Raw genomic sequence first — 24,441 nt, 5'->3', positions numbered from 1 at the left:
AATAAATTTAATTTATTTTATTCCTAAAAAATGCAAGGTATGTTTACACAATGAAAGAAAGTGGCATTTTTAAAATTCTGACAATCTTTGTAACTGGAATTTAAGAAGTTATGTTTCCATATGCAAAATTAAACTAAGATCAGTGAATCAGTGGCATATATAGCATTTACTTTTAAACTAGTAAATTCCAAGTCTCTTATTATTTTATTTATTATTATGTTTAACAACACTTTTACTATGTGAATTATGTGGAAAAAACCCTGCATATATATCTAATAAGCAGCTAGTTTGATACTTTGTTTCTATTATGCCATTTTTGTTAATATCCTCTTTTTTTTTTGCCACATGCAATCAGTTGCCAACTTCTATACATTCTTCAGTAAAATATATCTACTTTTTGGTCCTCTTTATGTTTCACTTAGTAAATGAGAGCACTGGAAAAGAATCAAATATAAATTTGAGTGTTTTTCTTGGATTTTAAGCCTAATGATGTGTAACATTAACAGTAATAGTTGAACAGAAATATTGAGGAGAAAAATGAGTGCAGGTTTGATGAGATTTGACTTGATACATTACTTTAGAAGTTCCAACCCATAGTTTAACACACGCGTGTATTGATGTATCTGCTTTCCATGCATTCGGGAAATGGTTAGTATGTGTTCATCGGTATACTGCTTCTAGAATGGTATGATGTTGGGTGTGCTGAGAAGATTTAAGTGTTCCAGTAAGTCTGGAAGCCAAGCTTCCTCTTACTGTTCGTAACCTTTAAACCCCAAACACACACACACACAATTCTTAAAGATTAACAACTTATATTAACCTGTTAAAATGCTTATTTTTCTGTAAATAAAATTTACATAATTTTATTCATTACTTAAAAAAAAATGCTTTTTTTTTAGATGGAGTCTTACTCTATTGCCCAGGCTAGAGTGCAGTGGTGTGATCTCTGTTCGCTGCAACCTCCACCTTCCAGGTTCAAGCGATTCTCCTGCCTCAGCCTCCCAAGTAGCCTGGATTACAGGTGCCCGCCAACACACCTGGCTAATTTTTTTATTTTTAGTAGAGACTGGATTTCACAATGTTGGCCACGCTGGTTTCAAATTCCTGACCTCAAGTCATCCGCCCACCTTGGCCTCCCAAAGTGCTGGGATTACAGGCATGAGCCACTGCACCCGGCCCCAAAATTTATTTTATCATGGAAGTTTTTGTTTAGTTTTGGTGGGGTTTTCTTGGAGAAAGTGTGAGAGAGAGCACAGCTATTAATAGATACTATACAGAAATGAAAATATTTTTTCTTTAGAAATCACTGGCTTAACGTTATCTACTGACTTAGAGAAGGTTGTTAGAATGAGAGAAGCTTACAAACTTCACAAATAGAAGATGTTTTAGGATAGGAAAGACAATTATGTTTGTTAATAAATGGGGGAAACAGTAAAGATAATAACATTTTAATAAATTATGATGTTGCTAAAAAATATGAGGATGCTTAGAATACATATTAATTTAATTGCTAACATAAAAAATGGATTTATTTACAAAGCTTTTGGAGGTTAGCTGTTCTGGAAGTTGAATAAATAATTGGCAAGGTCAAGGAGAATGAAATTATTTTATAGCAGCCACAAAAGGAAATGCAAAAAAGAGTCAACTAGGAAGCTAGGAATAATGTTTTTTTTAACTGTAAACCAGCTTTGAGGATCCAGCAGTGACTAAAAATCATGAATTTACTGTGGAGCTAATTAATAGTGGCGGATTGGTTCCAAAAAGGATGATGTTGTGACATATGCACAGATGGTGGAATTTCTATATACATCATCTTTGTCAGTGCAACGTTGGTGCAGTTAAGGGCTCAGGTGATTCTGAATATTATAGAAAATATCATTTAAAATGGACAATCAAGAAATTCCATTTCAGTGTGGCTTCTGGGTAGCAGATAAATGGCAATTTCTGTGTTCTTCTAGATATCCATGAAGATACAGAAGAAAAAGAAAACATCTCAGCACTATCAAAACACACTTTAGTAATGATGAATATTTGTTGAATTCTAGCTATGCCAACCAAGTATTGCCATAAATATTGACTCAGTTTCTCTTTTAAAATATTTTATGCCTATCCACATTTTCCCCCATTTTATAGCTGTAGACATTGAGATAAGAAAGCTAAGTAAAACACTCAAGATTGCACAGTTAATGAGCAACAGAGATGGAATTTGAACCTACTGAATGTAGCTACAGAGTCTGTTCTTTTGAACACCACACTATACTATCTAATATCAAAATCTATAAGAAATTGATAATGATTTCAAATTGGAATAAACTGAGAAAAATACAGTTTTAATAAAAGAAACCCAGGCTATCATTAACTAAACTGCTTATCCCTTTTTTTGTGGAAAGTAGTCTGGGTCATCTCTATCTAATCCTATCCAAGTATAATCCCTGGGTGATGCTCACATGATTGTCAACACACTAACTCCACATGTTGATTAACTTCCACCCAGTTTCCATGTAAGTCCTTGAATCTACCATGGCTCATGTGGGCAGTATCCCCAGGCTGCTGTTTCTTGTCTTCAAGTGGTTATCATAAGGCTGGCCTTTCCTTTCAGCACCACAGACCTCCTCTATGGATGATCTCTATTCTGCTCCCAGCCTCCTCAATCCAACCCTCATTATGATAGTAACTGAGGAGTAAGGAGGCCGAATCTTCTATCAGAAATGGGTTATCCTAGAGATGAACCTTCACTCACAACTAGAAAAAAATACTAATGGCTTTAAAACTGCTTTTCAAAATTCAGGAGCAATGGCTGGCAGATCTAAATGTGGCATCCAGTTTCTAACATACCAGTGAATTCAAAATGAAATTATACATAATCCATATAACAAAAGTAAAGGAGGTGGCAAGGAGCCATGGCATTAAAGAAAAGGGCAAAGAAGTATATCGTTTATAACAGTAAGTGGGAACATTCCATATTAAAAGATTCATTCTGTCATTTAGGGCAAAAATAAATAAATACAACTAAATTCAATGATATACTATGTGAAAGATCAAATGCTTAAAATTTGCTATTGTGAAAAATGCCAATGCAATTTTTATATTATTATTTCTATACAGCCTATTTATTTATTTATTTATTTTTTGACACCGAGTCTCACTTTGTCACCCAGGCTGGAGTGCAGTGGCGATCTCAAGTCACTACAACCTCCGCCTCCCGGGTTCAAGGAATTCTGCCTCAGCCTCCCCTGTACCTAGGATTACAGGTGTGCACCACTATGCCCAGCTAATTTTTGTATTTTTAGTAGAGGTGTGGTTTCACCATGTTGGCCAGGCTGGTCTTGAACTCCTGAACTTAGGTGACATGCCCACCTCTACCTCCGAAAGTGCTGGGATTTCAGGCATGAGCCACCATGCCCGGCCACTATACAGACATTTTAAAGAATAAAGAGATGTAATGGAACAAAGGATTTCTTACATATTGATAAATGATACATAATTCACAATATGAGCATGGTGTAACTTTAATTCTGAAATAAATTGCCGTGGTACAGTGGTCTTTTACAACAAGCTTCCTGCCATCACAGATCTTATAGTTTAGCTTAGGAGACACTGTGATTTGTGCTAATAAAGGCATATAAAGCATGCTGTGGACATATAGAAAGAGTAACATCTAAATTGACCGGGAGGCCGAACTATGACTGAAATAACTTTTATTCAAAATAAGAGGCTTGGTGCAGTGTCTCACATCTGTAATCCCAGGACTTTGGAAGGCCAGGGTGGAGGATCGCTTGAGCCCAGGAGTTTGAGACAAGCCAAGGCAACATATGAAACCTCCTCTCTCCAAAAAAATACAAAAATCAGCCAGACATGGTGGCATGTGCCTTTGGTCCCAGATACTCAGGAAGCTGAGGTGGGTGGATCACATAAGCCCTGGAGTTCGAAGCTGCAGTGAGATGTGGTCACACCACTGCACTCTAGCCTGAGCAACAGAGTGAGACCTTAGGTCAAAAATAAATAAATACGTAAAAATAAAAATATATGAATATGTCATTACTGGTCAAGAGACAGAAAAATGTAACAATGGAGACCATGGATCCAGCCAATATCACACATTCCTAGTGAATACACTGGCTTCCAACTATTAGGTATTTGACTAACTTCAAGAAGTTTTCACATATAGTCTACTATTTCATATTAGAAAACCTTTTGTTGGCTTTATTTATGTCTTCTTATGAAAATTAATTTTATTTGGAAAGCATTCAAACTTATTGAAAAATTGCAGTAGTAAAACGAACTCCCACATAACCTTTGCCCCAAATTCAATTTTGCCCATTGTCCCAGGCAATTACTCCAACTGAATCCAATCCAGGATGGTCACTTGAAATCAGTAGCCATGTCTCTCTCATGTCCTTCAATAAGAGCATTTCCTTAGTCTTTCCTTAACTTCTACAATCTTGACATTTTTTTTAAGATTATAGGGTATTGATTTTGTAGAATGTTCCTCAATGTGGAATTTTCCAGTATTTCTCCAAGGTTGTATCTACTTTATGCATTTTGGGTAGGAAAGTACAAGAGTGATGCTATGTCCTTCTTATTACATCCTATTAGTTAGTATATAGTATTGATGTGTTCCATTTTTGGTGATATTAGGTTATCTTAATCAAGTTATCTTAAGTGACCAAGTAACCTGGTCACTGCCAGGTTTCTCCACTAGAAAGTTACATTTCTTTTTTCCTTTGCAATCAGTAAGTACTTTGAAGAGAGATACTTTGAAACTAAATACATATCCCATTCTTAATCACATTATATCCATTTATTTTATAAACAGTTGATAATTTTGCCTAACTGTGACTATGATGATTTTCAAATTGTTATTTTCACATTCATTTTAATGCATTTATTAGTTGGCATTCTAAGTAAAAGAACACCTATTTTATTTAGAGTATTATAATAATTACTATTATCATCTCAGATTTGATCAGTGGAAGTCCCTTATGCTAGATCCTTAGTCATTTTGACATGTGATATGGTTTGGATATGTGTCCCACCCAAATCTCATGTTGAAATGTAATCCCCAATGATGATGGTGATGTTTGGTGTGAGGTGATTGTATACTGGGGATGGATTTCTCATGAATGGTTTGGCACCATCCCTTTGTTGTTGTGCTCATGATAGCAAGTTTTTCATAAGATCTGATTGTTTAAAAGTGAGGCGCCTCCTCAACATTCTCATTTTATCCTGTTTTCACCATGTGCTCTGCCTGCCCTTCCTTTGCTCTCCACCATGATTGTAAGTTTCCTGAGACCTCCCCAGAAGCTGAGCAGATATCTCTATGCTTCTTGTACAGCCTGCAGAACCATGAGCCAATTAAACATCTTTTCTTTATAAATTACCCACATCAGATATTTCTTTATAGCAATAAGAAAGGTCTAATACAGAAAATTGGTACCAAGGAATGGAGTGTTGCTTTAAAGATACCTGAAAATGTGAAAGCAGCTTTGGAATTGGATAACAGGCAGAGGTTGAAAGAGGGTAGAGGGTTCAGAAGAAGACAGGGAAGAGAAGGGAAAGTTTGGAACTTCTAAGAGACTCAATAAATTGTTGTAACCCAGATGCTGATAGTGATATGAAGAGTGAAGTCTAGGCTGAGGAGGTCTCAGACAGAAATGAGAAACTTATTGAGAGCTGGAGCAAAGGTCACTTTTGTTATGCTTCAGCAAAAAACTTGGCTGTATTGTACCCCTGCCCTAGGGACCTGTGGAACTTTGAACTTGAGACTGATTATTTAGGATATCTGTTGGAAGAAATTTCTAAGCCACAAAGTACTTAGGATGTCACTTGGCTGCTCCTAACAACCAATACTCATATGCAGGAGGAAATAAATGACTTTAAGTTGAAACTTATATTTATAAAAGAAGCAGAGTATAAAAATTTGAAGAATTTGCAGCCTGACCATTTGGCAGAGAAAGAAAAAGCTTTTAGGGGAGAGGAATTCATGCAGGCTGTGTAGCTACCACTTGCTAGAGCAATTTGCATAACAAAAAGGAAGCCAAATACTAACATCCAAGACAATGGAAAAAAGGCCTCCAAGGCATTTCAGAGACCTGTGCAGCAGCCAGTCTCATCAGAGGTCTTGAAGCCTAGAAGGAAAGAATGCTTTTGTGAGCCAGGCCTAGGACCCGATTGCCCTGCTTACATAATTGTAAGTTTCCTGAGGCCCCCCCTGAAGCAGATGTCTGCGTTCTGCTTCCTGGACAGCCTGTAGAACCATGAGCCAATTAAACCTCTTTTCTTTATAAATTGCCCTGTCTCAGGTATTTCTTTATAGCAATGCAAGAATGGACTAACACAACATCATTCTTTGAGTATTTCATTACTATCTGGCACAACACAATATTTCAGGTTCTTCTCAGTCACACCCCATTTTTTAAGAAGCACTGATTTCTTTCCGTCGAAAGTATGTAGCAACCAAAAGTTCAGTAGTGAATGTGCTCATTATTTTGTGGATTTTGCTATTCACGGGCCCTTTAGGTGGACAGAACTAGGAAGTATTTGTATTCACACACACACCCACACAACTTTACGTCTCTATCTATATCTATCATTACATCTATATCTATATATTAAACCATGATTTCATACCAATACTCCCAATTTTAACCTGCTATCACTCATGCATGCCTAATAATATTTGCAACTGGAAAGAAAAAGAAAGGAGGGAAGGAAAAGATTAAAAGGCCTTTGTTATTGCTGATTTTCAAAAAAGACTTCATCATCATCTTCAAAGACTCATACAACTGTAGACATGAGAGGGATGCCATTTTGTCCAATCTTATCTTACATGTAAAATAATTGATATAGAGGGAAATGAAACTACTTGGCAAAGCAGCACATTTAGGTACATGTAAAGCCATAAATTTGACTTGGAATTCATAAGTGGCCTAATGCTTTACCCACAAAACATTATTTTACATTTAGTTAATAAAAAGGAAATAAAATGACTAAGTCTGAACTATTTAAGTTTCGTATTTATTGAGGGACTGCCATGATCTAGGAACAATTTCATAAATTGAATCTTTCAATCTTTGCAACAAAACATGTAGCAGGAATTAAAAATCCATTTTGTTAATGAGATCAGTGTTCAGAAAGAATAAATGAAATGCTTAAAGTATAATAAGAGCACTAGGCAGGCATAGATCAAATTGTGTTAAATTGATTTTAAACCAGCTGAGCTTGATAGTATATTACTGTATAAAATATTTGTAATAACAAAAGAAGGGCTGGAATGAACCATGTCAAATGGAAATCAAATTAAAATAATCAGTGCTATTTGAAATTAAATTGTTTTAAAATTGTACCATCTTATTTGTTAAATAATCCATTCAAAAATTGGTTTATTAAGTACCTACTATGTGCTGGAAATTGTACTAGAATGAAAGATGTAATTAAATAATGCCATCAAAGACTTAATTAACAACCTATTTGAAGAAAAACATATGCTATATATATATCAATTATAAGGCAATGTTTTTTATGAAACAGACAAAACACTATAGAAGTACAGATTAAGGAGCCAGTGAGTGACTTCAAGAAAAAGAGACATAAGGGTTAAAAGGAATTTTTCCTTTTATGAAATGAGAAGAATTAGAGCTCGTATGTTCAATGAGACTTTGTTCATGTTCATCTTTTTTCAGTGTTATACCCCAGTGCATACAGTGCCTACTAGTTTTGCCTGGTTCAGTATAGGCACTCAATAAATATTTATTGAATAAACGAAAGAATTAAAGAATAGATGTTGGGTAAATATCAAGTAACATATAGCTGGAACTTAGGGCATGGGACAGAGAGTGGAAAAAGACAAGTCTGAGAAGATCAATTGAGGCACATAGTGAGTTATTTCACTACCACTTTACATGAGCAGGACAATATTTTGTAATTTTAAGCAGCAACGTCCGATAAAAATGTAATATGAGCCATGTAAATAATTTTAAATTTCTAGGAGTCATATTTAAATTAATGTATCTATATGCCACACTAAACATTTATATATCATAAAAATAAAATTATTTCAACATGTAATCAAAAATTACAATTATTAATGAAATATTTTACATTCCTTTTTTGCCCTAAGTCTTTGAAATTTGGTATGCATTTTACATTTACAGTAATTCTCAACTTAGACTAGCAACATTTCAAATGTTCAGTAGGCACATGTGGCTAATGGTTATTATATTAAAGAGCACAGGGCTAGGATTCTTGGTACTCAAAATGTGATCCCTAGACCAGCAACCCCTGAGAACTTTCTAGGAATGCAGAATCCTGGCTGCACCCTAGATCAACAAAAATAGATCTGTATTTTCTCAAGTTCTCCAGGTGACTATGTGTACATATCAGAGAAGCACAGGTCCAGGTGACTCAGCTGTAATGTCAGGTGTGTGCATCCCAGGTGGTACACAATATAAATGCTATTCATCTTCAAGAAGATTGGATTAGAACAATAAAGTATATTAATTTTGTCTTAAAAGTACAAAGTGAATTAGAGTTTACAAATATTTGATATTGTATTGACATTGATGCTTTTATTTGGTCCAAATATCAGATTGTCTCATGTCATTAATATCTGGTAGCCTGAGGTAAGACTTAAAGTTCCACAAAAGTGAGAGAGTATATATCATCTCTTATCTATGTCTGGTAAGTGGATGTATGGATGTCATTATTATATTTCCTAGCATTGATTAAACTAACTCTCACAAAATGGAGGCTATAAAATATTTTTGCAAATATGTAAGAAAACAAATGCAGAGCTAACCCTTTCAATCCTTACAGAAAGTCATTCTCAGTCTGAATTATATGTAAAAAATAATAATAGTATGATCAGACTTATTAAGTGGCAGAGTGAAACTTGTAGTAAAATTATCAAAATATCTACTGGAAATGTGGATTAACACCCCTATAGTTCATGGTGGACTTGGCTCCAAGTAAGGATCATACCTACAGATATAATCTAATGATAATATAAAGCCATTATAATTAGTAAAATATTTTTAATATTTTAAATTTAATCTGTGCTAGGCACTTTTATGTCCAGGTTTGCCTAGGGAGTTCCAATTGCTTTCAGTTGTCTCAATATAAGTATTAAAACACCTCCTTTTGCTTTCAAAAGAAGGCCAGCCCTGTTTGGAAAATAAATCTTTTGATCACCCTGCTTATCACATGCACAAAAAACGTATCTTTGGGGTATTTTATAATACATATAATTTATAAGTACAGTAGAGTACATTTACATAATTTTAGAATGAATGAACATGCATTCTAGTAGAGATATATTTATTTATTTTCTGTTATTTTGAAGATCACACAATGAAGACTTGACTTCTGAGAAGCTGGAATGTTTCCCAGTTTCACTCTTAGCCCATGCTTAATTGTTCCGGGCAACCCCTTTCAGCCTGGGAATGTGTTCCCTCTCAGACTGATGCAAAGTGACAGTCTAAGCAGGGCTGTGTACTTTTCTCTACTCTCTTTCTTCTCTCTACTCCCTTAATTGTGGGAAGAGGGAGAAATAATTGTTAGGAATTTCAGGGGCCTTTCCTGCACGGTGGATTGTTTACTGACCAAAGGAAAGGCAGAAGAACAGGAGGCAGCAACTTCACCAAGTCAAGTTAGAGTGGCCTGTGAGACCTTAGAGGCCCCTTTGCAAACCACAAAGTGGATCATGCACTTTCGGTTCACCTGGGACAAGTTACATGTATGCTGGAAATAGAAATTTTATGTTTAAGCAGAAACAGCAAAAGATAAATTTTAAATGGTTAAAAATGGGCCAAACTCTAAATAAATGGATTCTTATGTAATTTCTGAAAATATTTTGAAACTCCAAAATTCTATGTCAAGAAAATAAAGCTTATATAGATGTACTTTTCCATTCCATATAAATATAATTTTATTTTTTATTTAAACTGAAAAGAATAAGATTAACAAATTTTGGAGAATGCACTATGAAATTTGAATGACCCATAATGAGACAGACAAATCATTTGAAGAGGGATATACTGAATCAGCAATTAAATAACCCTGTAATATGGAAATAAAAGAAACGTAGGATTGTTTGTTATACATGACTCTAATAGTAAAGAAAAAAATAGAGCAGGACAAAGAGCCTACAAAAATATAGCAAGCATTTGACAAGGAATGTCAGAAGTTTACATTGCATGTATATATATTAAACTACAGAATGTCTAATCACCATGCAATTGCTCCCTCAGCACCCTCAATGCTGCCTACAACAGATGTTAGTATTTTTCATATAACGATGGTTTGGGTGGGACATTTCTCAAAGTTTGTTCCTTGGAACACTAGCTTTTCTAATATGCTTTGGGGAAAATGTGCGACATTCAGGTAAACGTAGGAAAACGTGTGTGCTCTATTACTGTCCTAAGTAAAATTCACTTTATGCATTCATGCGCTAAAATGTCTTAGATTTCCTGGCAGTAGCTAGTCTAGTTGTTTACATTTGTTTATTCCATCATTAATTATGCTTCTTAAACTAAAGAACTTTTAGTTTGAATACAATCTATTAATATTCTAGGAGACTAGTGTCCCACAGAAAACATTATGGAAATTCGGGGCTAGAGGAATGTTGCTGATATATTTCTATTCCTAGCATGTGGTTGGCCTTGAGGTGAATACCTAAGTTTAAAGAATATCAAAGATAGTATAGTACAATTTTTTCAAAATATTTTAGATAAATTTGTATTTTCATTGCTTAGTTATTTGGGCATTCCTCTACATCTGAAAGAGCAGTGTTATTTTCATGCTTACATTAATGTATCAGCAAAAGACCTGCTTTAGTAGGAACCTGACAAATAATATTGAAACATTCCTGAGTATTAAACCTCTGATTTGATAAAGGTTGGCATGCACAAATCTATATTTATTTTAAGCAAGATGCAGATTTTTAAAAGAAGATAGATATATTCTCAAAAGTATAATGTAGGAAATTATCATTGTTGCTATTAGGATGATAAAATATACCATTGTAAATAATTGCGTTTACATTTCAACTCATGATTATTATTTATTTCTTAAGGTGGAAAAAAGCTGAGCTGGAAAAATAGAAAAGTCCCTAAAGATTTGCTTGGCGATGCCTAGGGACCAAATAGTACAGTTTTCCAGATGCTCAGAGATAATGGCGTAACCTGACCTGCCTATACTAATGTTAACTTGGTGGAAGTGTGGGAAAATCTCTTTTTGCACTGGACTTTGTAATCTAGTCTCATTTACAATCAATAAAAGCTTGAAGAATAAAATAGAGCCAATAGAATTGGTGGAATAAAATAGTATTTAAGAAGGTCCTAGATGCTATTACCAATATAATCTTATTTTGTTGCCTAGTTCCTCAGAACTAGGTTCCTTTGGCCATAATCATTTAATATATTTGAATAGAAAAACAAATTTTTTTCTATTACTTCATTGCTATTAATACTCAGTTAAATCTGGTATTAATTATTGATCAGAATGGATATGAATAGTCCATTATGTAACAATAAATAAATAATTATTGGGTTAATAACCTATTAGAGAGGCAAGCATCTGAAGGTTTTATGTCCTTGATTGTCACTGAAACACATTCCAAAGTCTACAAAATCAGCAGCAGGTGCACATGAAATTACCCCAGTTCCCAATATATCTTGCTCTTTTTTCATAGATTCTAAATTTTCTTTGTTTTTCAATCTTTTCCTGCAATTAATTATAATGACCCTATTGATATAATCTATGATATTACTTTTATAAAGCTCATATTTCATTTTAGTTATTTTTTCCATTGATTACATCAAGTATGCAAGCTGTGCCAGGCAAGGCGCTAGACACTCTGAGTATATCTATCAGCAGTACACACATAGTATCTGCTATAAGGAGCTTATAGCATGGTGAGAAAAACAGACGGTGGCAAGTAAACAGACTCAGTGCTTGCATTTAGTAATTGAGAGAAATCCTATGAAGTATAAAGTATTATTTTATATCAAAGACAAAGATTGAACTAGGTGAAGCTTTTTATTAGAATTGTTATATTTACATGGTTGATACTGTGCTTTCTGGAATTTCTGAGGATGACTTTTCTGACTAGATTTCAGTGGAGCATGACCTTTGAAAAGTGCTGACAGATCTGTGCCCACTCCATTGCCTCATCTTGCATCTTTGGTTGCTAAGTTTAAAAAGGGAGTCATGGTTGCAACATAAAAGAGAGTTGGTGGCTTATGTAAGATTGCTTAGGATTGTCTTGTTAGTATTCTCCTCAAGTGTCAGAATTACCTAGACACTTGATACAACGGGTTTATAACAGTTGTCAGAAACCAGATAACATGGCTCTATAAGGCTGATAATTTCATTTTCTCTTTATTTACATTTGTGTTTCTATTAAAGATTTAGTGAATGTGGTTGTCCAGATATTGTAATAGTGACCTGAGGGAGGCTATTCTGAAGTTGAAAACTACAGAGCCACTTTCATTTTGTTGGTCCATTATCTTAGTCTCTTTAAATGTGTGTACTTGTGCCTTTAAAATTAGCACACTTCAAGTTGGGTGTAGTGGAACACACCTGTAGTCCCAGCTACATGGAAAGCTGAGGTGGGAGGATTGCGTGAGCCCAGGAGTTTGAACCTGCAGTGAGCTATGACTGCGCATCTTCACTCTGGCCTGGGTGACAGAGTGAGACTTTGTCTCAAAAAATACGAACATTAAAATGAGTACACATCAGAGGAGGTAGCTATAAATAAATAGAAAAAAGAGAGAGAAAAGAAGAAAACAGATTGTGATTAGAAAGATGATATTGTCCACAATATATAGTCCTTATATATTTCTTACAAAATTTAATTATTCTTAAATTTGTCCCATAATAGCAAATTGATTCCGGATATAAATCAATAATAGAAACAGTAAAACTGAGTACTACTAATCTGAAAAAATGTCAACCTATTCAATAGGTGAACCAGGTAGGATCAGAGGATTAAAAGAAGTAATCTACCTGAAAGTTCCATTTTATAGAAATTGCCCTACTGTTAGAACTTGAGAAGCACAATTGCTGCCTATAAATTGTGCTTCTATTTTTAGAAATGTTGTTAAATTGTTTTAAAATCTAATACTTGCAAGTGCTTTTATTCTTAAAACCAATAACACTTATTCCTAATGTATTCCTGAGATTTACTAAACAAGAAAGCTAAGCAAATAATAAAAGATGCATATATATCTATATATATTCATATATATATGAATAGAATATAGATGCATATATATGAATAGAATATATATGCATATATATGAATAATATATAAATAATTATTTATATATTTATGAATATGAATTATTCATAATTATATATATGAAATAATATATTATTCATATATATGCATATAGAGAGAGAGAGAGAGAAAGAAAGAAAAAGATATTATTGCCAAAGGCTGATAAGCAAAAAAACTAAGAGTCAGAGGTACTTGCTGAGAGTAACTAAGGAGATGGATTTATTTATTCATCTTGTCATTTTCAACTTCATTCACTCCCTTCACTTGTATTCTCTTGCACAGTAGGTAAATAAAGGTCTGAGATGTAGTGTGTTTCACAGATATTCAGCAAACTATACAGATGTGTGTACTTGACACACAGATGTTTCAGTTTTTATTTTCCTTTATTCCAAGCACAAATTTCTCTACCTTATTCCCAAAATTAGGCCCACCCAGGCTGAGAAATAAAGCAAAATGTAGTGCCACTCTGGCTCTCATGGCCTACCAGATTAGCAGGTAAATCATTTGAGAAAATTCCCAAGCTTAATCCTTTGAAAACTGATCTTACCTCAGGGGATACCAAATCATATTCTCCATTTAAATATTCCTGCTTTAAACCACACTTGCTCAACAAGTTTTATAGAGGAGAAAAGCATTTTTTGTTTTGAGAAAATGTGACTTCATTATAAAGAAATTGCTTTCTTTATTTTCATCTTCAGAAGTTAAATTAAGCTTCTTTTAAGTAATTACTTTTTGTTCTAAAATGATTACTTAATGTGTTTATATATTTTATGCAAGTTGGGTAAAAAAATACATATGCCAAAAACACTAAATTAAATATTTTACCTAAAAGTAATCTATGTCGCATAGGTAAATGTTAATGGAATATGAAACAACCAACATTATTTAGAAAATGAAGCTCTAAGTGGAGAGTTGCTTTTGCAAACCTAAATAATAACAATACAGTATAATAATACAGTAATGTTTATTTCCTTAACATTAGACTAACATAGATCATGTTGCAGAAGCAAGATGTTTGACTTGTGAGATAGGTGACCCCAATTTTCATATGTGCTCTGCCATCAATTAGCTGTTTTATCTTATACAATTCCCCTACCCTTTCGTGATTTAAATTTAATTATCCTTAAAATTGGAGAGTTTGACTGCATTATCTCCTAGGTCCCTATAAGCTCTAAAATTTCTGTGATGCTAGAAGGCTAACCTCACGTAATTCCCATCTCCATCAGTTCACATGGCCCAGTTTTTGTCAGGGTTCATAAAGATTACTGACATGGGTAGTGTGTCTAAGAATAAGCTACTTCAAAGCCATGTTTCACATTTTTATAGGTTTTGTTAAAATATATTTAAAGTTTATTTATCAAATAATTAGCATTTTAACTCCGATAAATTAAACCAAATCAGATAAACTATGGAAGGAACAGAGTGCTCCAGTTGTATAGGATGATGAAAATTACTAAACAATACAGTATACATATGAGATATAAACAGAAAAAAAATTCTACTCATAACAAATTCAGGCTATTTATTGATCCACAGTGATGGGAGAAAGGAGAAATAATTTCTGAGAGAGAATGATTAAAAAGAAGAAAGAATGAAGAAAGGAAAGAAGCAAGGAGTAGTAACAGTAATGAAAGCTTTCTTCTAGTTGTACAGTAAAGTCTATTTTGCTAGCAGGAGGAGGAGTCACTGTGAAATTGCTCATTGATCAGGCTCATGTATGAGAAGCAAATTAAAACCATTCATTTTCCTTGAGCTGGAGTTGCAATTCTCAAGAGAAGCGTGGAGACACTGATGGGTCATGATTAGTTGGGAGGTGAATTTCAAGTAATTTGATATTTGTTAAAGGAGCAAAGTTTGCAAATGATTTTCTTTAAAGTAAATCAGAACACATTTAGGTTAAGCCTGTAATAATAACCTCCTTGCTTCCATTCTGACATTCTATCTAGAGAGGAAAGGAAGGATGGTGTAACAGAGGACTGTAAATTGTTCATAACCCTGAGGGTGGGTCCCTCCCTTGCTAGGAACGTCAAGGAAATACTGTGGATTGAAGTTACACGAAGCCAACCCAATTTATCCTAAAGAAAAAGGGAAAATACTAGGAAGGACAGGAACAGGGTTTGCTTTAGGCTCTACTGAAGTAGGCACTCAGATATTTCACAGAGCCTTCCCCTCTCATTTTCACCTGGGCCCAAGTGAACTTTACTCTTCTCTACTGCAGACCATGTGTTTTACCAAGCTGGAGGTGAGAAGGAAAGTGTCACAACTAGCCTCATCCTACCTTGGGACTCCAAAGGGAAAAGCAGAAAAGTCAGAGTTCTCTCTCTCAGAGCACCTGCACACACACACACACACACACACACACACACACACACACACACACATGCTTATGTCTCTCAGGAAAAATCTTTCTTTGCTCAGTTTGGTGCCCCTTCCGTCTTACAGGAAAATCACCATGGCCGTAAGGAAAAGGTACCATATCCATTGTTTAATGACATGCAGCCCCCACCAGAAGCAAATTGGGTGCTATGTCTACTTGATTCAATTAGTCCCTTCAATAGTATTTAGATAATAGGAATAAAGTAATGTAGTTATACAGCTATGAGTTCCATTTTCATAGCTATCCTAATGTAATTCAAATAAACTTTGCATATTTATTTCTATAAGAAAATCAGACAGGTTACAAACAAAAGTAGAAATTAACACACCAAGCTGGCTGTTAATCATAAGAAATACAAGCAAGCATTTATAAATATTTAGAAAAGAATAAAGTTTTGCTGCCTTAAAATTACAACTTGAACTTCATAGCTATATATAAAATATGATGTTGATTTAATTTGGTTAAGTAGTCTATGTGTATGTGTTTGCATATGTGTGTTAAAGAATGGTTGGTGATTTTATTAAATATTTTAGACATGTAAATGACCATGAAATCACTTTTATTTTAGCTATCTTTCAGTCTACTTTTTGCACACACAGCCACAAAATCATCTTGTTAATTGTGACACACGTCTTCATTTTTATCAAAACTTGCAAATAAAACTGTATATATTTTCAAGTATAGGCCTACATGTGCACAGATATTTATAGAAAAAAATTACATTTTTAAAGACCCATGAAATATTGTTTACAAATCATATTTATACTTTGCTGGTATGGTAAGGGACATAGTTTAATACTATTTACTAACAAATTTACTTATTGTCAGGCAAAAGTAATACGTTCTGGGAATTTTTAACATGTTTTAACAGTTCCTCCATTGAGAAGTTGTTAATTGTGCTCGTGTGTACATGCATGTGTAAGAAAGATGGATAAGGGTAAGAGAGTCATGAAAACATATTATTTTGGTAATTCAGGTTGAGTATTCCTTCTCTGAAATGCTTGGGACTAGAAGTGTTTTGGATTTTAGACTTTTTTAAATTTTGGAATATTTGTATTATACTGGTTTAGCATCTCAAATCAAAAAATATGAAATGCTCCAATAAACATTTCCTTTGAGTTCATTTTGTCACTTAAGTTTTGAATTTTGGAGAATTTTGGATTTGGGATTTTTGGATTTGAGATGTTCAACCTGTGTGCTTAGTAACGTGTATGTATTTCAAAGGATGGTATCATATATGTACCCTTGCTAAAATAAGTGAAATTGATTTTATACATTTTAATGCAAAGTATTAAAAAATAAAGCTAGAGAATATAAAACGATTTCCATAAATTTGACTATTATTTCACTTATAATCTCTATTGTGTCTATAATAATGATAAATAATCTGTAACTATAATTTGATAGACACACCAATGATTAGGTAATGCTTATATTATACTTAAGGTTGTAAATATTCTCAATAAGCTCTTGTGCATAATATTCATAACATTCTTGAAACATACTAGCAAGTCCTGTGATGTCCAAACCTCAGCTAATTCATCATTTCTATTTTCTCACTCCCCAGCTAAAGCGATTTCCTTCCATTTATGTGCCAGTTGGCACCTTACGTTTCTTTTCAATTATGTTTTTAATTTTTTTGAGTTATATTTGGCCTTCCATTTCATTGCAGTTTTAAGTAGTACACCTTTCTCTCTGGATGACTCATGAGTCTTTTTTTTATATTTTTGTTAACTCAAAATCTGGCTTCTCCAAATTTGCCCAAGAATAATGATTTTGTATTGGATAGTTAGAGACCCACAAAAAAGCCTGTCAATTTGCAGTCACTCTCTTATAGCCATTCTCACCTATACTCTGTATTGCTAAAATGGCCTCTTGTTTATTCTGCTACTGTGATACAATTAGAAACATTTTTCTTTTTTTTTTTTTTTTTTTTTTTTGAGACCAAATCTCACTCCAGGCTAGAGTGCAGTGGCATGATCTTGACTCACTGCAACCTCCACCTCCTGAGTTCCAGCAATTCTCCTGCCTCAGCTTCCTGAGTAGCTGGGATTACAGGAGTGCACCACTATGCCTGGCTAATTTTTTTGTATTTTTAGTAGAGACAGGGTTTTGCCATGTTGGCCAGGCTGGTCTTGAACTCCTGACCTCAGGTAATCCACTCACCTTGGCCTCCCAAAGTGTTGGGATTACAGATGTGAGCTACCATGCCCAGCTAGAAAAATTGTTTGAAAATGTTACTCTGACCTATCCAAATAGTCCGTGGAATCTCATTTATTACTAAATTATATTCAAATTCTTTAGGATTTAAGAAGTCATTCATGCCATAATCCTAAAAATTTTCTAGCATTGTTTCTCAGTAATTATAACAAGTAGCCAATATATCAGTTACATTTTCTGTGCTTTCACCCATAGTTTGGCGTCATCTAAGCAAAACTGTTTGCTCACAGAAGGCAAAGTGTTCAGAATTGTGGGGGACAGTGGGAGAGGTGGCAGGGATGAGACCTGTTACTAGATTAGTCTACTAGGCTGGGCCTAGGAGTGTAGACAGAACTACTGTGAAAGGAGATTTTCACATTTTCAGGCAGGCATGGTAGACAAATAGGAATGAAATATTTAGTTCCAGTTCATTCAAAATATTGGTTAATGGGGTATTATAGCTCTCAAATATATATATGTCTTAAATATATATATAATACATATAAACATATAAAATATATAATATATAAAATTATATATTTTATATATATATGATATATAATATATTTTATATATAAGATATATTCATCTTGTATAATATATTATATTTAAAATATATAATATGTATCTCATACATATTATATTTAAAGAAAGCAGAACGCAGTTACAGTGGATTCAGGTTAAATACTACTTCAAGATCAGGCATCCAACAGCATTTAAGGAGCAGTTCCAGGGGTTGCTGTGCTCCATTCTGGAATTGGGTGCAGAGATCATGCCACTGCACTCTTTATATTCATGGGGATAAAAAGACAAAAGCTAAATCAAAAGTAATAGCTTAGAAGTTCACAGGCTTTGGAATGAAATGAATATGATTACGTGTAATAATATACTCAGCTTTGCCATTTATTAGTCCTCATTCCTGGGGAGTTCCTTAACTTTCTAAGTTCCACATAACGTTTTGAAAATTCTAAACAAAACTCAAGTGAAGCCTTCATCTTCGAAGTGGGGTACTCTGGGTTGGGAAGTGGGTGCTATTGGTAGTGCTATTGGTAGAGCCTTAGTGTACTAGGGAAATGGATAAGCAGACTGATGACTGGGAGAGAAACTCAAAGTGGAGACCACACAAGAAACCTGGTTCAGAAAATAGGGACACAAGTTTAGACAACTTCAAATCTTATTAGAATCTGGAAACAAGCTAGTCAACATTGAGATGCTATGACCCAGGATTACTTACAGGAGACAGTGTCTTGGTACCTAAAGTTTCACTGCAGAACACAGAAAAGATAGAAGACTGAGTCTGCCCTGGCTCAAGTCAGCTCTAAGCAGTCTAATAAAGACCTTCCAAACCCTCGCCCTACCCACCCAAATTACAAACTGGATTTTGTTTTTCTAGGCATGAATGTGGCTCATTCTCATGATGAATAATGCTCCAGGGCATTGATTTCAGTTTGGTTATGATGAGCATTTCAGATCTGCATACATGAATGCATTTCATCTGAACCACATGGATCCACAATTGGGTTAGAAAGCTAATGAAAATATGTTATCTTAATATATCTGGTATCCCTGAATTTATTGCTGTTACAGCAGCCAGAAAAAAACCGCAGAAGTAATTTTTGTTATAGACTCTTGGCTATTCTGCTGCCATCCTTAGCCAGAAGCCCAATGCATAAATATTCAGGAAAATTAAAAAGAACAAGGAAAAGAATTATCCACATTGTTGTTATAGGCCCCCCAAGTAGTTTGTTTTAGGTTACTATTTATTTTTGTCAAATATTTACATTCTTTCCTAACACATTCTGGAATCATCGGGTTAAATTTTCTAAAGTATTCCATCTATGCAAATAGCTGAGAAAGATTTCTAAACTTGTATTAGAAGGAAGACAGACTTATAAGCATTTAAAATATTCATTATTTGATTAAAATAAAAAAGACAATTCAAAAAAATAAAAATATATATACTATCGTAAACAGTAGTGGAGGGTTAATTATTAATGTCTGTTTGTGGTTGCAGTAGTGATAATGCTGACTGTTTCATAATTTATTTACAACTTACATTTAAAAATAAGTTAGTATATGTTATATTTTACATATAACAGTTTGAAATATGCCAGAATACATTGTGTTGCCGCTATTCAAATCTCAGTTGTAACTCTATAAAGAAAAGTTTTACTAACAGTTATTATAATTTAGGTTGGAGTGCATTATTTCCTTTTAAGACCAAGAGTCACAGCTATGATTATATGATTATCATGTATACCTAACATGTACTCCATCTTTACTAAGCACTGTAACGATATAGAACAGATCTCCATTCAAATACTCCAAAAACTGATACAGGAAGTAACGAGCATGGAACATCATTTTCAGAGATAACTATTAAATGCAACAGGCAGAGGTGTCAGTGAGAAGAAAGAGAGAGGGAATAATAATAGCAAATGCTTATATGGCATTGACTATGTGCCAGACATGTTGCGAATGATTTATGTATATAAACTGAGTTAATCTTTACAACAACACTGTGCATTAGGTACTTTTATTAAACCCATTTCTTAGACACAGAGTTATATACAGTGTAAAATATCTCAATGGGGAAACTAAAAGTAATGCAAAGACAAGCTAAGAAAAAATACCATAGCTCTTGTTGCCAATATTAAAGTTACACACTTTAAAAACAGATTTTTTTGCTCTGAGGCAATGAAGTCTGACCTTGTGTTCTGCACTACCTACACAGTTTTCCAAGTGGGAGTTACTGGGACTTCCAGACCTCAAGTATTCCCACCTACACATGCCGGCTCTTTGTCCGCAAGACTGAATAAGAGCACAAATTCCATCACATATCCACAAAATGCAATGTATTTTAGAATTTGGGGATACATTTAAAAAATTAAGGAAGTGGAAAAATATTTTGCCCAAAAAATAATATTGAGGGAAGATCCTATAAGTAAATGGAAAAGTCCCATTTGGGAAAATATATGAATGTCATAATTTATTTTTAAAATTATGTCACATTTAAGAAGACTTATAAATTTATATGTTATACCCAACATTACAGCTTCTTAAAGCCAAACCTTTCACTTCTTCCAAAAACAAACCACATGTTTTCCTCTTCCATGGGTCATCCATGAAATATCTGTTCTTTTGCTGAGCTTGATCCTGATACTCTGAATAAAGCCTGGCAGAGGCTATACACGTTCTTAGTCTACTCTTCCTGAAATATTCATCTGACATGTAAGACTGATAGACTATGAACAGGAAAATGTTTTTAGGTATTTGCCAAACATTAGACTAGTCTACCCAGAATTGGTTAATAAAAACTAGTTTAAGTTTAAGTGCTTCTACTGATTATATTTCTAAGAAAGCTTTTTTGTCACCCATATATCTATAAGTTTACAGATATAGAAGTAGATATGAATATGGATATAGATTTCCTTAGCTCTTCTTCTCATAGAAAGTAATTTAAGGCAAAAGAGTTTCCATCTCTTTTAAATGTTGAATAAGTTTCACTGAATAAATATATTAGTATGATTGAAAATACATTGGCCAGGCATGGTGGCTTACACCTGTAATCCCAGCCTTTGGGAGGCCAAGACGGTTAGATCACCTGAGGTCAGGAGTTCAAGACCAGCCTGACCAATATTACAAAACCCTGTCTCTAGTAAAAATACAAAAATCAGCTGGGCATGGTGGCAGGCACCTGTAATCCCAGCTACTTGAGAGGCTGATGCAGGAGAATCGCTTGAACCTGGGAGGTGGAGGTTACAATGAGCCAGGCTCGTACCATTGCACTCCATCCTGGGCAAAAAGAGCAAAACTCTGTCTCAAAAACAAAAAACAAAAAACAAAAAACCTTGAAAATAGAGGCAAGTCTAAAAAGTATGCTGGCCACCAGTTAAAAGTATACCTGCTATGGTTTCTCCATTGATATAAAGCAGTAATATGATAAAAAAAAAAAAGTGTCATTAAACTTAGGGATAATCTTCAATGTAAGCATACAAAGTCTTCACAAACAAGGTCACAATATATAATCTTGCTTTTGCACATGCTTTTGCTTCAAAAGGGTCCTGCAGATCTGCTAAAAGAGGATTTCCTCTCTAAGAAAAAAGATAACAATATTCACTTAAAAGAATGACTATAAGTGTTATAAATATTAGTAGTGTCACAAGATCCTTATGGTGTCACTTTTCCAGTTGAAACCTCTGTGACTGGTGGCACCTTTGCCTGGGTTTTGCTCGGGCCCACTGGGCTTGTTCCACCCACTTGGCATTGCAGGCTGTGCTCAGCTTGCACAGCCAGCCTGGATGCCATGCCTGCCAAGGGCGAGCCAGGCGGAGAGCAGCAAGGTGTGCATGAGTGAGTGAGCATTGGATCTGGTCTCTGTGCACAGCCAAGCATGCCAGCTGGTGTGGTAAGGTGGGCAGCTCCAGGCACTGGCACAGGTGCTGGCTCTGTGCAAGGCTGCAGCTGGATCAGATGCACCTCAAACGGCTTCTGCTGTGGGCACCCATGTCTGGATGAGGGGAATGTGGTGGCTCCTGGAAGCATGGAGATGCCAAAAATCACAGAGCCCCAAATAACGTATTACAGCCCTGGCTCAGGGAGCCCCTAGATCTGGATCCTTAAAGGGCCACAGCTTTTTTTTCCTTCTCATCACCCACAATGTGGTCAGCAAGGGGGTTTTTCAGCCTATTTGTATTATAGCTCTTTCAGTCCTGCCATTCAGTGAGTCCTGAGTTCTCATTCAGTGTCCAGGAAGAATGAGGTATGCAGACAGCTGGAGGGTGAGCCAGGTAGAGAGGAGTGTTATTGAGTGACAGGACAGGTCTCCACAGACTCAAAGTGAGTAGCTCCTATCCACAGACAGGCAGTCCTGATGGGTCTCCAGCTCTCATCAGAAAGAATACCCTGAGTGGGTAGCTCCTTTCCACAGCCAGGTCATCCCAATGAGTTGAAGAGACCCAGATTGGGTATCTCCTTCTCACAGTTGGTAATCCCAATGTCTGTGTGAGTTGGGCTGAATCTGGGGGGTTTATGGGCTTCAAAAGGGAGGAAATGCATGTTGATTAGTCCATGGACAGCCATGGGGGGCCCAGACAAAGCACCATAAGTTTTCACTCCTGGCCACAGACTCCACCTGGAATGGACAGTCTGGGCCTCAGGCTTCAGGAAGTCCCTGGCTTGAAGGTGGGATTTCACCAAGGATACGCCCCTTTCTGCCCCTAAGCCTATCTGCCTTCTGCTGCCATCAACATATCATCCATGACGCACAGGCTGTTCATGCTGAGGGTTGCCTGAAGGCCTATGCCAATCCTCCCTCAGTCCCCCCCTTGGCCTCCTTCCCATGCTCATTTGTGCCCAAAGTCCAGAGGGAGCCAAGGCAGCAGGGGCTAGCATGTCAGAGCCACCCCTGAGAGCACTCACATCCAACTGTGTTGCAACAGCACCTGGGGTTGGCTACAACTCTGGTCCAAAATTGGAGTAGGTGCCGGGAGTGGGGAGAGGCCAGACAGTGGGAACAGGCACTTTCGAGCCTTCAGGGGTGAAAGGCTTTCTGGTCCCTGGAGAGTGCAGGGATACTGGGGTCTGGAGCTGTGGCTGGGCATCTGTGACTGAGCTTGGGAGTGTGGGCTCCTGCCCCACCAACTTGGTGGCGGGTGGGGCTCTCGCCTGTTCCTGGCTCCCACTGGACCTATGTAGTAAATAGCTGCACCTCTCCTCCTGCAGCTGGCATCCTTGCAATGGCAGCTCCAGATGGGTTGTCGCTGCCATCAGTAGTATACCTATTATGGTGCCTAGTACACATTATTTATTTGACATAAAGTGACCTAGTATTATGGAGAGAGTAATGTTTTACTTATTTTGTTCTATGAAGCTCTTAAAGATATACCACGCTTAAATGATTCAGTTATTCTCATATTTTATTAATTCCCTCATTTATTCATTTACTTGTTCACTCAGCAAGTATTTATTTACTACCAACTAAATGCTAAGCATCATTCTGTTTGTTGTAGATGCAACAAAGTATATGAGAAAATGTCTTTGAAAACAACTGTAGGCAGTAGGCACCTGACACGAAGCATCAAAAGTTTTGCTGTGTATCGGCATCTACAATGAGCTGTGCTCTAGAACACTCCCTTTCTCCAGAGAACAGCCAGGGGCTTGCCTTCATTTTATGCCATTTTATGCCAATTTCTCTACTTGCTTGCTCTTTTTTTTCCTTTCTTTTCTTTTTTTTTTTTTGTGCGTGTGTTGTTTTTTGTTTTGTTTGTTTGTTTTTTAACTGCACTAATCACTTAGATCTTCACTTGCAGCTTGCTTTAATTTTTCTCCTACCCAAGGTTTTCATTAGTGACATCTATATCTCCTCCTGGGCAACGTTTAATCTTAGCAAGGGAAGATTCCCATTTTTTTCCCAGTACCATAAATATTCTTTTATTTTCTTCTAAAATAAGTACCTAGGATTTATTGCAGGAAAATTACATAATAATTATTTATTTTCATGTTTTCCTTTTTTTCTCAGTTGTATATTCAAGTAACCCTTTCTCCAAACCCCTCCTTCATTTCACCCCCAATTCCCTACACCTCA

General features: G+C 35.5%; 1 protein-coding gene across 2 annotated transcripts in view, besides 1 other annotated feature; it reads left to right on the top strand.

The window, feature by feature from the left end:
- SEMA3A (semaphorin 3A) overlaps nt 1-24,441 on the top strand; it is a 536,949-nt gene that overhangs the window by 208,816 nt on the left and 303,692 nt on the right. The window lies entirely within an intron of this gene.
- Nucleotides 5,820-6,420: an enhancer, noted in NCBI's record as "OCT4-NANOG-H3K27ac hESC enhancer chr7:83906806-83907406 (GRCh37/hg19 assembly coordinates)". NCBI's record gives its function as "activates a minimal SCP1, AML or CMV promoter by ChIP-STARR-seq in primed H9 embryonic stem cells {active_cell/tissue: H9 hESC(primed)}" and the evidence as "EXISTENCE:reporter gene assay evidence [ECO:0000049][PMID:30033119]".

Source organism: Homo sapiens, chromosome 7 (assembly GCF_000001405.40).
Source record: "Homo sapiens chromosome 7, GRCh38.p14 Primary Assembly".
In the NCBI taxonomy this organism is placed as follows: domain Eukaryota; kingdom Metazoa; phylum Chordata; class Mammalia; order Primates; family Hominidae; genus Homo; species Homo sapiens.
This window is presented reverse-complemented; position numbering and strand designations above follow the sequence as displayed.